This window comes from Homo sapiens, chromosome 1 (assembly GCF_000001405.40).
Source record: "Homo sapiens chromosome 1, GRCh38.p14 Primary Assembly".
Classification (NCBI taxonomy): Eukaryota; Metazoa; Chordata; class Mammalia; order Primates; family Hominidae; genus Homo; species Homo sapiens.
Window position 1 is genome coordinate 9,260,489 of NC_000001.11, and position 15,288 is coordinate 9,275,776.

Sequence of the window (15,288 nt, forward strand, 5' to 3'; positions counted from 1 at the left end):
GCCAGTGTTGTTACGTTGCTGTTGTTACACCAGTGTTGTTACGTTGCTGCTGTTATGTTGCCGTTGTTACTCTGCTGTTGTTATGTTGTTGTTACACTGGTGTTGCACTGCTGTTATTCTGATGTTGTTATGTTACGCCAATGTTGTTATGTTGCTGTTGTTACATTGGTGTTGTTATGTTGTTGTTACGCTGGTGTTGCTGCACTGCTGTTATGCTGGTGTTGTGTTGTTAGGCTGGTGTTGTTATGTTGCTGTTGTTATGCTGGTCGTGCTGCTCCATGTTCTCCAGGTGTTCTTCCCTTTTATCGTCACAGTTACCCCGTACACCTGACAACTGGACATCTGCGCCTGGGGGTCTTCAGCCTAAACACACCTAAACCCTCCACCAAACCCCTCTGCTTCCGCCTCCCCGTGTCTGTGAGCGCCTCCACTGCCCATCCCTCTGCTCAGGCCCCACTTCCAGGGCTCATGTTGGGGGCCTCCATTTTGCTCACACCCACCCCATCTGTCAGCAGGTCCAGTCAATCCTGACTCTGGGGTGCCTCTCCCTCCCCTCCAGCTCCTGTACTGCCCATTAGTCCAGGCCCTGTCGTCTCTGCTGGGCAGCTGTGCAGCCTCTTCCTTGCCTTCCCTGCATCTGCACCCATTCTCCCCCCAAGACCAGGGGTCGATCCCCAATATAGGTCAGGTCTCGTCTTCTCCTGCCTCAGATCCTCCAGTGTCCCCCCTACAACTGATCTTAGAAAAAAGTCCAGCCTCTTCGCCTTATCCTGCAAGACCCCTGATCTCCTCTCCAGCCTCACCGCTGTCCCCACTCTTTGCTCACCTCCATCTGGCCCCCAGCACACCAAGTTCCTTCCTGCCTCGGGGCTTTGGCACCTGAGGGTCCCTGCAGCTGAGATGCTTTCTCCCTGGCTTTTTGCGAGGCTGGCTCTTCAGGTCTCGGAGGGGCCTTTTCATTACCCTCTGTCACAACTGCTCTGTAATTTTGTTTACTTCCTTTTCTCTTCTTCCCACTTTCCCTCCCTCCCACTCCCCTGCACATTGCCTGGCACAGGTGTGCGCCCGGTAGTGAGGTGGCACTTGTTAGTCTCATCCAAGGGCAGGATGCAGGAACAAAAGTCAAGTAACTTACCCAAGATCACATGCTAGTAAGTGGCAGTCATACTCTGGGGTGCTGCAGCCCCCGCCATGGTGCCATAGCCCCCACAGTGCCGAGCCTCCTACTGGCAGTGGCCAGGCAGGGCGGGGCGAGGGGCTGGCCAGTATCTACAGAGGCAATCTGGCCTTTGCTGGGAATAGAGCTTTCTTCATGTGGATTTCTGTAGAGGCTCACGGATTTGACGCCTTCTCTTACAGTAGTTCTCATTGACAGAGGTGGCTTCAAGACTTCCTCCCTCCCTTCTCGTGGTGAGGTTGGCTTTGGTGTGCACCATTTTTATAGGCCCTGTGGACTGGGGGAAGAGGATGCAGGATGAATGTGCGGGCTGGGGTTTTGGTGCACCTCGGGGAGATCTGATGTTCTGGCCTCTCTTTAGATCCTCCCCACTTCTCCACCTCCCTCCACCAGGCCGCACCAGCTTCTATGAGGAGTACGGTGTCATTCGCGACGTCCTCCAGAACCATCTGACGGAGGTCCTCACCCTCGTGGCCATGGAGCTGCCCCACAATGTCAGCAGTGCGGAGGCTGTGCTGCGGCACAAGCTTCAGGTCTTCCAGGCGCTGCGGGGCCTGCAGAGGGGCAGTGCCGTCGTGGGCCAGTACCAGTCTTACAGTGAGCAGGTGCGCAGAGAGCTGCAGAAGCCAGACAGCTTCCACAGCCTGACGCCGACCTTCGCAGGTGGGCCCTGGGGCTGGGCATGGGGCACTGGGCTGCCCACTTCGCCGGGAGCAGCTTTCCAAATGCAGACGCCCTTGGGTGGAGTGGAGGGGACTTGAGGTGGGATTTCCCCCAGGGTGCTCGGAGGCAAGGATGGCATTCCCCTGTCTCCCTGGCCTCCTACCAGCCTAAAGTGGCAGGCCAGCTGGTGGTGCCCTCAGGGCGAAGGACATCCCAATGGCCATGGCCTCGTGTCAGCCCCAGTTCAGTCCCAGATGCTTCCCAAGGGTTTGTCGTGCGAGGCTCAGACAGACCTGGTTCCTGCCTCATAGGGTCTCCCCAGTGAGGCCGCAAGCCTTTTGCCTGGCCACAGCTGGAGACACTTCCAGCGGCCAAGTGCCATGCCAGGGCTGTCCTCTGGGCAGTTCCAGAGACCCAGGGCTTTCTGGGAGAGGCTGGCTCCTCACCAGGTAGCAGCCAGGCAGTAAGAGCCACAGCTGCCTGTTGAGCACGCGCCGTATGCCAGGTGCTTTATAGATGCCTCTCATACAAGCCTCACGCACCAACCACGAGGCAGGGGCCATTAGCCCCGTTTTACAGGTGAGGAAACGTAAGGCTCGGTGAAGTCGTCAGAATGAACCAGGCTTGGAACTTGGGCATGGAATACTGTCAGCCCCTGGCTCTTGCCACCAGGCCTTGTCCCTCCTTGCCAACACCCCACCCACGGGCCTCTGCTTGGTGACTCTCTCCTCACCCCGCACCTCTGACCCTGCGTCGGGTGCATCCTGAATGCTTCACAAGCAGGAGGGAAGCACGTTTCTCTGTAGGACCCCCTGACCCCTCAAATACCTAAGAGTCAGGGTCCCCCACCCCACTTGCCCCCACTGTGGGGCGTCCTTTAGAGTCTCCAGGTTGGATGCTCTCAGCCCGGTTCTCCTTTCCTGGGGGACCATAACTCTAAGAGGGGCCTCAATGAAGGCAGGTGTCAAAGCCATAGAGATAGCCCCAGAGGCCGGTTTTCAAGCATGGACTGGGAAGAGAAGGTCATGGAAGAGATGCCAGGCGAGGGGTGAGCATGGCAAGGCGAGGGGCTTCCCTGAGGCAGGGGGACGCCCAGAGGAGCCGGCAAGGAGAGGAGAGGGCTGGCCGGAGAGTCCTGGTCTGTGCCAGAGAGTCACCCTCTGCTGTTCCCTCACCCCAGCCGTCCTAGTGCACATTGACAACCTTCGCTGGGAGGGCGTGCCTTTCATCCTGATGTCTGGCAAAGCCTTGGACGAGAGAGTGGGCTACGCTCGGATCTTGTTCAAGAACCAGGCCTGCTGTGTGCAGAGCGAAAAGCACTGGGCCGCGGCGCAGAGCCAGTGCCTGCCCCGGCAGCTCGTCTTCCACATCGGCCATGGCGACCTGGGCAGCCCTGCCGTGCTGGTCAGCAGGAACCTGTTCAGGCCCTCCCTGCCCTCCAGCTGGAAGGAAATGGAGGGACCACCTGGGCTCCGCCTTTTCGGCAGCCCTCTGTCCGATTACTACGCCTACAGCCCTGTGCGGGAGCGGGACGCCCACTCCGTCCTCTTATCCCATATCTTCCATGGCCGGAAGAATTTCTTCATCACCACAGAGAACTTGCTGGCCTCCTGGAACTTCTGGACCCCTCTGCTGGAGAGCCTGGCCCATAAGGCCCCACGCCTCTACCCTGGAGGAGCTGAGAATGGCCGTCTGTTGGACTTTGAGTTCAGTAGCGGCCGGTTGTTCTTTTCCCAGCAGCAGCCGGAGCAGCTGGTGCCAGGGCCAGGGCCGGCCCCAATGCCCAGTGACTTCCAGGTCCTCAGGGCCAAGTACCGAGAGAGCCCGCTGGTCTCCGCCTGGTCCGAGGAGCTGATCTCTAAGCTGGCTAATGACATCGAGGCCACCGCTGTGCGAGCCGTGCGGCGCTTTGGCCAGTTCCACCTGGCACTGTCGGGGGGCTCGAGCCCCGTGGCCCTGTTCCAGCAGCTGGCCACGGCGCACTATGGCTTCCCCTGGGCCCACACGCACCTGTGGCTGGTTGACGAGCGCTGCGTCCCACTCTCAGACCCGGAGTCCAACTTCCAGGGCCTGCAGGCCCACCTGCTGCAGCACGTCCGGATCCCCTACTACAACATCCACCCCATGCCTGTGCACCTGCAGCAGCGGCTCTGCGCCGAGGAGGACCAGGGCGCCCAGATCTATGCCAGGGAGATCTCAGCCCTGGTGGCCAACAGCAGCTTCGACCTGGTGCTGCTGGGCATGGGTGCCGACGGGCACACAGCCTCCCTCTTCCCACAGTCACCCACTGGCCTGGATGGCGAGCAGCTGGTCGTGCTGACCACGAGCCCCTCCCAGCCACACCGCCGCATGAGCCTTAGCCTGCCTCTCATCAACCGCGCCAAGAAGGTGGCAGTCCTGGTCATGGGCAGGATGAAGCGTGAGATCACCACGCTGGTGAGCCGGGTGGGCCATGAGCCCAAGAAGTGGCCCATCTCGGGTGTCCTGCCGCACTCCGGCCAGCTGGTGTGGTACATGGACTACGACGCCTTCCTGGGATGAGGGCGCCTGTGCCCCTTGCCCGCTTCGCTCCTGTGCTTTCCTTCGCCCGTGTCTTCCCTCCCTTCTCGGCCCCGCCACCTGCCCAGCGTGCCCTGGCTCTCCAGAACCTTCTATCCCACAGTCAGGCCCCAGAGAGGGCAGGACAAGCCTTGTCCCGATGCCTTTGACCGGCAGCTCTGTGTATTGGTGGATAGATGCAGAAACAAGGAAGAAATGGAGTCTGCTCCTGAGAAGCTTCAAATTCAGGCCAGGAGAGAAGTCTTAAGAAAAGACCTCCAGCAGTTACACATTCATATCAACCAGCACAACACGGGATGGCGCCCAAACTCCGGCGTTCACAAGAGGAGACGTGACGTGGTGGGCTGAGGTTAATCAGGGAAGGTTTCCTGGGGGAGGTGATCCTTGAACTGGCTCCCGGGGAACATTCAGAGCATGATTGGTAGACAGAAGGGTGCAGAGGCGCCCAGGGGAGTACATTGCCCCGTGCAAAGCAGGGGCATTGGGGACTGTCTTGAGACCCTGAGGGGGTCAAGCCCCTCCTTCCCCAGCTGCCCCTCCTTCTAGAACCTCTGCACATCTAGCCTCTGGCCCTCCTCTTCACTGCCTCCACCTGCTCCCGCTTGCCATCCCTGTCTCCTCCATCCTGGCTGTGCAGTAGGAATTCCAGGCTCCTCCCTGTGTCTTTGCTGTTCTTCAGACTCCATTTATAGAGAATGAGGGCTGATAACAGGAATACAGTGGCAAAGACTAGACTGTGGAAAGGGTTCCAGAAATCTTTTTTCTTTTTTAATTAAAAAAAATATTTGCAGAGATGAGCTCTTGCTATGTTGCCCAGGCTGGTCTCAAACTCCTGGGCTCAAGCGATCCTCCCATCTCAGCCTCCCAGAGTGCTGGGATTACAGGTGTGAGCTACTGCGCCCAGCCCCAGAAATCTCAGTGCTGTTTGGAGCTCCATTTCTCATTTGATGACTTGCTCTGCGTGGGGAGGTGGGGTCTCATTCCCCCAACTTCCTCAGGGAGGACCCCTGCCCTCCGCTGCTCCTCTGTCCTGCTAGCCTTCCTCCAGGAAGCACACTGGGTGCAGATAATCAGGACATTCCAGAGATCCCCAATTTAAGAGGGTCATTTCCATCTCAGGGGACTCCCGGATGGGTGTTTCCGCTCTCAATAGCCCCTCTTGTTTTACCAGGAAAGATCCAGTTAAATCACCCACTGAGGTGACAGCTCATTAGCGGGGAGAGAGATGGAGCATCGAGTGACACTGGGCCATCCAGGCGGCTCTGCTCCCACCAGACAGGAGCTAGGCCTCACTGGCAGGGGGGCTGCCCACAGCCTTTTCAGGGGCTCGCTTGGCGGGTGACGGGGCCGCAGCCAGGCCTTCTCTCCCTGCCCCTTGGTGACCCCGTGGCTTCCTGTCTGCTGGCCTCTCCTGCTACTTATCACTTCACCACGAACTCTCTGCCTGAGACTGGGGAAGTAAGCGGGTATCTTCTCAGTGAGCATAGGTTGGGGACTGTGATCTTGAGAAGCCATGGGCCAGCAATACCTGCTTTTCTGAAGCCCCCAAGGAGGGCTCTGACATTCTTTTTAAAAACACCACAAAGCAAAATTCCCAGGACATGTGTAGTTTTGTTTGTTCAGTATCCCACAACTTAAGGCTGGGAGATGGAACTCTTGGTTAAGGTCGATTTTTCTGTCTGGCTTCTCCGCACCTTCCACTTGCTCTCTGGATCAGGCAGATATAAACTTTCTAGCGCATTTTGAGAGAGGGCTTTCTTGGGTGAGGGAGCATGGCAAAGTCGGTTTCTCTCTGGACTGTTTACACTTCAAGGCGGTGGATTTAGAGGAATCCTGGCTTTCATTTTCAATGCCAGTCTGAGACATGTTCCCAAGCCGGGGCTCTTGTTCACACCACTTACTCTGGCCACCAACAACAACCCAGGCCAGACAGAGCATCTCTTTTTTTTTTTTTTGAGACAGAGTCTCTGTCGCCCAGGCTGGAGCCCAGTGGCGAGATCTTGGCTCACTACAACCTCCACCTCCCGGGTTCAGGCAATTCTCGTGCCTAAGCCTCCCGAGTAGCTGCGACTACAGGCGCCGGCCAGCATGCCTGTCTAATTTTTGTATTTTAGTAGAGACAGGGTTTCACCATGTTGCCCAGGCTGGTCTCGAACTCCTGAGCTCAGGCAGTCTACCCACCTCAGCCTCCCAAAGTGCTGGGATTACAGGCGTGAGCCACCGCGCCCAGCCAGAACATCTGTTTTTACACCCAGAGAGCGCCCCTCGTTAGGACAGAACCACGGTGCCCAGAGCCAGGAAGCCGCCCTCCTGGCGCCCAGCATCTGAGCTTCTACACGTGATGGGCGGGCTCAGGAGAGGACAGGGAGTCGTGGTGGAAGTTCCACAGCTGGCCGCGTGGGGGGGCCCTTGCACCGCACTGCCGCCTCCTGACTGCCCCTATCCCCGCAGCCCCTGTGCCGGATTTCATTTCCCTCCTCTCTCCCAGGGTACCTGGCCCCAGCACTCTCCCATCTGTTCTTCAGGAACCGACTCCTCTCCAGTTGCAACACCAGGGAGAAAGGGGCCTCCACATGCCCAAGTACCCCTGCAGGATGAAGGGCAGGCCGGCCCTTGATGTGCCATTTCTGAATAATAGTCACTGCCGCCGAGTCTAGGATGTCCTGTTCTAACTCAGCCCTGCCTCGGATGCACCACCGATCTGTGCAGAGTGGGTGTGGGAGTGTGGGTGAGGGTCGAAATGCCAAAGGTCTACTTTCCAGAATCAAGTGCCTTCTGCAAATCATGTTGGAAAAGTCCAAACCTGGAGATGTCCCTGTGCCTCCGCCCCTACCCACCCCTTTTCCTTCAGCTGTGTTAGGAAGGAGAAGTTTTCAGAACCCTCTAGGCTGGTGGCTTTCAAACTTCAGACCATGATCTGCAGCAAGAAACGTGCCTTCCATCATAAATCAGTCCATTTGTTTACAACTGTGTTCCAAGCAGGTTTCATAAAGAAATTCTTAACCTTAGAACCTCGGATATCCTCTATGTTTTAGTTTTCATTTTTTTAAAATGCTTCTTAAAATTCACTAAATTGGGCTAGGTGTGGCTCATGCCTGTAATCCCAGCACTATGGGAGGCTGAGGTGAGAGGATCACTTGAGCCCAGAAGGTTGAAACCAGCCTGGGCAACATAGTGAGACCCCATCTCTACAAAAAGTTTTAAAACCAGGTATGGTGGTGCCCTCCTGTGGTCCCAGCTACTCGGGAGTCTGAGGTGGGAGGATCACCTGAGCCCAGGAGACTGAGGCTGCAGTAAGGTGTGATTGCACTATTGCTCTCTAGCCTGGAAAACAGAGTGAGACCCTATCTCAAAAAAAAAAAAAAAAAAAAAGGAAAGAGTGATGACAACAGCCCAGGGAGCAGCCCCGCTCAGAACCCAAGTCCCAAGTTCCAGCACTGTGTTCCCAGGCAGGCTGTTTGCCTCTTCCTGGTCTGGAAGCCCTTGGGTCCTATGGTGGCGGCAGCTCCCACAGTCCAGGTTCCCTGGTGGGGACCAATGATTCCATCCGCATGGAAGCCCACGTGTGCACTTAGGGGCCCATAAATGGCAGAAGGGCCCCTCCTTTGGGAGACCTTGTCAGTCAGCATCTCTAGGGCAACCGTGATTGCCATTTGTAGAGGGGAAGGAATCAAGGGACTTTAAGCTAGATCAAAATCTGGGGACAAATTCTCCTGCTAACTGCAAGTTAAAATAGGCCCTTCTTACTGAATTTCCCTGTTTGTTTCTCTGCAGACAATGCTTTAGCCCTACTCTTGGGCCCCCAAGTTAGCAGAGTAATCAAAGCTTCCTACCGTTTGGCCTACTATTCCAGACTAGTCCCTCGAGGGGTTCCCTTCCAAAATATGCAGGGCTCAGGCTCCCAATTCCGGGCCTGTCTGCTTTGCTTGTGTTTCTCCTGTCCCTGTTCTCCCGGAGGGCCCAGGTGGAACTCACGACAGGGAGGGAGACGCTTCCCAAAAACCTGCAGGGCTATTTCCCAGAATTTGGTTTTCAAGTACAAAACTTTTTGTCCTGTAAGATATATGCAGCCTCACAGAAGCAGCCTCTGCCTCCACTTTACCAGCTACGTTTTTATCTTAAGCACATGGGGCTCCCTTAGAACTTACTCCACTGATTTAAAAAAAAAAAACTGCCTGGCAGCATCTCAGTGTCAGAGTGAGCACGGCACAGGAAAGGCCCGTGGTGACGAGGGTGAGGTGGCCACAGTGACCGGACGACAAATGAGACTCTGCAAATGAGACTCCAGAGGGTGAAGATCTGCGGTCTCCAGACATCATAGGCCATGTGACCCACTAGGGGCCGCTTACCCCTGGCCGTCCGCTGGCTGAACTGAACGCATTCCCTCTCTCCGCAACTCTCCCGTGAGGCTGCACCCGTGTGGGTAGCACTGGAAGCGGCACTGTTTGCATTGTACATAGGAAGGAAGGAAGTTCTTCCAGCCTCACCAGCACCTGGCAGCGAGTCAGAGCCTGTGAGGGCATCCGAAGCAGTGATGCAGTGTCAACCTCCCAGCTGGTGCCACTCTGCCCTCGGGGGCTCCAAGCATTGTAACTCAGTCATGGGAGCTGCCTCTTTGGAAGTGCAGATTTATTCCTGTAATAATCCTGCCTGCTTTTACCTCTCGTCCACTGACCAGCAAGTGTGAGTCCCGGTGTCAGTCGGCACAGTCCAGTGTCCATCTGCATTTGCTCATGCAGAGGGGGTGAGTTGGGCACTCCCTGTTGTTGGTTTTCCTTTTGCAGCACACTGGGCAGTCTCCCTATAAAACAAAAACCCCACCTTCTGTGCCTTCTGCTTTAGAGCAGAGCTCCCCCTCCCATTTCCTCAGTCTTCCCTGCAAAATCTGTCCACCGGGGAAGGCAGCAGGAACCCTGGGCAGCGGGTGTTCTGGGAAGGCTAGTGACAGCAGATGTCATCCAGGAACAGCCACACACGGTTCTCCAGGCCGCCGTCAGCAGCTCAAGGTGGGGTATGAGTGAGAAGCTGAGGATCTCGCAGCTTGTTGCTGAGCAAGGTGCAACCGGGCTCATGCTGTCATCAGCACAAGACGGGATGGCAAGGGCTTTCAGACGCATTTCCAAGAGTCCAGCAAGCCAGGGGGAAGATGATCCCTTTGCCGAAGTGTACCCTCTAGCCAACTTTTGGGAGCGCTTCTGTTTGCAAAGCGCTGGGGATGTGCCTGTCTCTGTGTGACCCACGAACGGGAAGGGAGAGCACTGGAGTAATGACACTTCTGCTGCTGCTTTGATTCTCAAGGCTGATCTTTAAAACCCTCGCCTTGCTGACAGGTGCTTTAAAGGCAGTCTGCATCTTTTCTTCCCTTGGTGTGGGAGAGGTAAACACTTTGATTTGCTGAAAGCTGTATGGAGTATATTTGAACAGCTAGTAGTTAGCTTTGAAAGTGGAAGTGTGAACAGACACTACTTGTGTCGCTTTGGGTCCTTCACTTTACCCCCACAGAAGTCTAGAGGCGTCTGTTATAAAGCGTTACGGGGCGCCTGCATGCAGGAGGAAGGACCTGTATTAGCTGGAAATCATCAGGAACCCAGCTTGCCTCCATCTCTCTGAGATGTGCTGGGTACAGCCTGCCCCTCCTAGTTCTGTCCACCGGGAAGAGCCGGCTGGCGGCAGATCCCCAGGGGCAGAGCCCCTGCTGGATCCTGGGAGCTCATCTTTACCTGTGCCGGAGTGGGAACTGTGATTCCAGCCGGGCAGGTCAGAGTGGAGCAGTGCTAAGAGGCTGTTGCAGGAGAACTAGACGGGCGGGGCCTGCTGCATCTGGATCATGTTTCTGTGCTCTGCCCCGCGCTAGGGACTCAGGGTCTGGGCTTCTGCCAGGTGAGGAGCAGAGAGACTGTTCCCTTGGGTGGAGAGGTGTGGGCATGAGAGCCACCCATTGCCAAGCAGCAAGAATGTTCGTGCTTTTTTCCAGAGAGGGGAACCCCACTGGTTTTTGTGGAAACAATGGAAACTTACAGATGCCTGCCTGGGATGATGAGGCACATTCAGAACAAATGCTTTTTTTTTTTTGAGACAGAGTCTCGCTCTGACGCCCAGGCTGGAGTGCAGTGGCGCGATCTCGGCTCACTGCAAACTTTGCCTCCCAGGTTCAAGTGATTCTCCTACCTCAGCCTCCCGAGTAGCTGGGATTACACCACCATGCCCAGCAAATTTTTGTGTTTTTAGTAGAGACGGAGTTTCACCATGTTGGCCAGGCTGGTCTCGAACTCCTGACCTCAGGTGATCCATCCGCCTTGGCCTCCCAAAGTGCTGGGATTACAGGCGGGAGCCACCATGCCTGGCCAGAACAAATGCCTTTTTAAACCTTTTAAGAACATTTTTAAAATGTCTTTTTCTATGTCAAATGTAACGTTTATTTTTTTAAACAATAAAATTGATTTGCCAAAATCCGGGCTTTAATTCTTTATTTGGGGCATGAGGTGTAGGGGTTTGTGGGCCCCAGCGTCATGCTGTGTGTGTTCTTGGAGGAGGGGAGGGCTGCCGTGAGTGAGGGCCCTGAACCGAGGACAGCCGCGTGCCTGTTGCGAGTGTAAGTGTGTCTGACTGAGCAAGCCAGTGCATTCCGTTTGCAAGAGGGTCTGTGGGCCTCATGGGAGAGAGAGCAGTGGGCAGGATGATCTCATTTCATAGACTCCCAAGCAGTCTAGGAAGAGTCCCCCAACCTTCCCGGCAGCCCACTGGAGGGGAAGGAGCTCACCCCTGAGTGGGAGATCGGGAGGGGAGGGTCTTTGAGGACACCAGAGCCTGATGCCTTCATTTGTCTTCTCTCCTGTCCCTTGCCTGAGTCCTACCTCCAAGCTGTGTCACACTCCCAGGAATGTAAGTGTTTTGGGGAAGTCAAATAGGATTTCAGGACCACTTGAGGTACAGAAGTTAGAGATTTGCAGGTTGTCACCAACAGCATGCAGGACCCACACAGGCTTGGTGACATCACAAGGTGGCAAAAGGAGCAGCGCACACATTCGAAATAGGTGAGCTCTGGGCAGGGACCCCATGGCAGAGGGGACAGAGACGGGTGAGACATGCCCAGAGCCTGCAAGGGAAGATGTCACGAAGGCCAGAAACCAGAGCTGCAGTGACCGTCCCTGCCTGTCCCTCAGATGGGAGGCGCGCGGGGGATCTGCTGCTTCCCGGGGGGTAGCCCAGGGCGTCCCCTCCCTGCTTCTCTGTGGTGATGGCTGCTGGTTCCACAGTCCTCACAGAAACATGGCGGGGCAGGACTGTGGGACCCAGCCAGCGTCTGTGAGGGCTGCACTGGAGGGTCACCTGGTGTCCAGCCCCCGTTTGGGGACCCTCCCATACATGTGTTCTGGGGAGTTCCGATGGCAGGCATGGGGCGTGTGACCCAGTGCTAGCCGATCAGGACATCCAATGCCCACAGCCGCAGCAATGGGATCTGGGAGGGCTCAGGGCCCAAACTGGTCAAATCAGAGTGACCCCGAGGACTCAGGCTGAAGCGGCACCATTTCTCTGGACTCAGGCCTTGGTGAGCTGCAGCAGCCATCTCAGCGCCACGGAGGCCTAAGGACAAGGCTGGCATGGAGGAGAGGAGAGCCCCAGGATCCCACTTCGGGGGCTGTCTCTGGGACCTGATTCCAGTCTCCTGAAGTCAGCCTGCGGGCCTCGTTTCTGGGTGCCTAAACTACCTTGTAGCAGCAGAACTTAATAGATACTGGAGCTAGTAGCTTTGTTATGTATTTCCGGAAGCCCAGCAGAAACCCCACACTGACCTAAGTAAGAAGGTGATTCTCATGAACCAAGAGGACAGATCCTTCTGTTTGGGGTCAGGGTTTCAGCAGTCCAGTGTGGCAACACCAGTTGGGTGGCCCCTGCTGTGCAGCATCAGTTTCTTCTTGCTTAATTGGAACTGTTTTCCTGATAGACCATAGTTTTGGAGATGCAGGGACAGATGGAAGGGCAGGAGGGGAAGAGTTGCGCAAATCATAAAAGAAGCCGTGGTGAAGACAAGCTCAGGAGCTGCCAGCCTGAGTCCACCTTCTCCAGGGTCTCTTACAAGCTCTTTACAGACAGCCAGAGCCCGGGTGGGGTCAGCCAGCTGCCCCTCGCCACCCAGCTCCCAGCAGAAGGGGAGGGGATGCGGCTCCACCCATGCCCTCTCTTACCCCCATCTTCCCACTCACCTGTCGGGCTGAGGACCACGAAGGCAGAGACTCCATACATTCTGCTCCTTTTCGTGTTTCTGGCACTTTACACGCCGCCCTGCAGTGAATGTGTGAGTGAATGAATGAGTGAATGGCAATAAGGAAAGAGAGTGGTCAGCAAGGCGGCTGGAGGGGTGGAGGCCTGAGCGGGTGTGGGGCCAGCGGTGAGCCTGGCACGTGTCATCCTCTCTAGGGGAGGGAGGGTCTAAGCACATGGGTCTCCTGTGCCCAGAGTGGCCAGGGCCTAGGGGTGCAATGGATGTGGTCCAGCCATGGCAGGCCACCACGCTTGTTGGCACCGTGGGATAGGGCCACGCAGAAGCAGGGCAAGGTCTGACCCCCGCTCCTGACAGCTCCCACTGGCTGCTGATGGAGAGCAAAGCCACGGTCAGCGCCCACTGCTGGACGCTGCAGCAGGGATGGCAGCCAGGGGGGCCCCCAACAGCTTAGGGCTGCTCTGTCCCCCTGGAGAGGTCTCACTACAGCCCTTTCCTTTCCCCCGTCCCCACTCACTGGCTGCGGAAACCCAGCCTCATGAGTTCTGTTTGTCTGAAGAAGCATCGTTGGGAGGAAAAATTATCAAACTAAGCTCATGCTATCAGTCAGGCCCTCCTCCTACTCCGTATGTCTTTATTTTTTTACTGAAAAAAATAAAATACAGTAAGCACTCGGATGAGAATATTAATCCATGGAGATTGCCCCCTTCAGCATTCACTGTATGAGGCCTTTTTATATTTGCTTTTTTAAAAGAAAAAAATATATATATTTTTTGATGGCAAAAACCTGGACACACATATTTTTGTAAAAATCACACATGCTTGTTACAAATGCATTGAAACAGTGCAGAAAAGTACACAAATGTGTGTAAAGAAAATCACTGTCGTCCAGCCCTCCAGAAACGAACAACAGTAACAACGGGTGCACATCCTTCAAGACACGGATGCAAATAGAAGATTCAAAATATTTCGTAAAAATGGGATCCTCCTCTTGATGCTAATTTTAATCTTAATACTTAATAAATAATAGTGCATTAATAATTTTACTAGAAACTGAAGGAATTTCATTCCATTCAGAAATATATTTTGTCACACAATCAATATCATTTCCCAAAAGGTCTCTTTAACATTAGAAGTGTATGAAAAGCCAGGTGCGGTGGCTCCCGCCTGTAATCCCAGCACTTTGGGAGACCGGGGCGGGCAGATTATCTGAGGTCAGGAGTTCGAGATTAGCCTGACCAACATGGCGAAACCTCGTCTCTACTAAAAATACAAAAATTAGCTGGGCGTGGTGGCAGGTGCCTGTAATCCCAGCTGCTGGGGAGGCTGAGGCAGGAGAATCGCTTGAACCCAGGAGGTGGGGGTTGCAATGAGCTCTAATCACGCCACTGCACTCCAACCTGGGGGGACAGAGCGAGACTCTGTCTCAAAAAAAAAAGTAGTTTATGGAAAAACATTAAGTCTGAAGTCCTTAATGAATTTTAATGTGATTTTTAACTCCCTGAATCAGTTTTGATTGGGGGTGTCTACTGACTTTGACAAATACGGACATTGATTCTCCATCACTTCCCATTTCCTGGCTTCCAACTCTGGATTTTTTTTTTTTTTTTTTTTTTTTTTTGAGATTACTCACTCTGTCACCTAGGCTGGAGAGCAGTGGTGCGATCTCGGTTCACTGCAGCCTCTGCCTCCTGGGTTCAAGTGATTCTCCTGCCTCAGCCTCCCAAGTAGCTGGGACTACAGATGTGCACCACCATACTTGGCTAAGTTTTGTTTTGTATTTTTAGTAGAGATGGGGTTTAGCCATATTGGCCAGGCTGGTCTCGCACTCCTGACCTCAAGTGATCCACCCATCTTGGCCTCCCAAAGTGCTGGAATTAACAGGTGTGAGCCACTGCTCCCGGCCCCAACTCTGGATTTTTGTAGGCACATTATTTTTTCTTGCTATTCTCCAGGATCCTTCATTGTTCCTTCCTTGTTGGCTCTGTCCGACTTGCCTCCTGTGGGCTCCCACCTGGCTGCCTCCCACTTCTAATGCCCAAACTCCAGGCACCGTCTGCTGTCCGGGAGGATGGAGGTATGACCACGTCTCATTTGTCTTCCTGCTTGTGGAGCACCCTTCTTCTCTGTGTCCTTCTCTTACTGGGGCCAGGGCTGCCCCATATTCTGGCCGTGTCCATCTGTCCCTCACGCATGTGGACAGGCAGGCTGACCACACAGCCTTGCACCGCCCAGCACGCGGGGCTCAGGTCCTAACAACTGCTGACTGCTGGCTCAGGGCTGGGCACTGTTCCAGGGGATACCAAGGAACCAAGACCCCGTCTTCCTGGGCCGTATGCTTTTTGTTCTCTTGAGTCTTGCATTGCTCCCTTATTTGGGGTTCACCCATCCATCTTCAAAAGAGTCTTCCTTACCCTCTGCTGCCCCTGCCAGCTCTCACCATTTTAACCCAAAGACTTTAAAGACGATAAAGGCACTATCTCGAAGGCCACCACTGCCCTCCTGCAGGACAAATGCACAGCTTGGAGGTTGCCACCGCAAGAGGGTAAGAGGCCACCACCCCCACAACAGCTGACTCATAGCTCGGGTAAGAGGCCACCACCCCCACAACAGCTGACTCACAGCTCGGGTAAGAGGCTCCCAGTTTGCAGATGCGAAACCAAGGCTT

At 55.1% G+C, this 15,288-nt stretch overlaps 1 protein-coding gene across 9 annotated transcripts in view; it reads left to right on the top strand.

Annotated features, from left to right (window-relative positions):
- H6PD (hexose-6-phosphate dehydrogenase/glucose 1-dehydrogenase) overlaps positions 1 to 10,849 on the top strand; it is a 36,564-nt gene extending 25,715 nt beyond the window's left edge. For 8 of the 9 annotated variants that reach the window (XM_047435002.1, NM_004285.4, XM_006711052.5 and 5 more), the window contains 2 exons: positions 1,571 to 1,840; positions 3,021 to 10,849. In XM_047435002.1, the coding sequence (XP_047290958.1) occupies positions 1,571 to 1,840; positions 3,021 to 4,381 (1,631 nt within the window). In that variant the 3' untranslated portion in view covers positions 4,382 to 10,849. Of the gene's footprint in view, positions 1 to 1,570; positions 1,841 to 3,020 lie in introns of those variants that run through there. The other variant, XM_017002866.3, reaches the window with a different exon arrangement.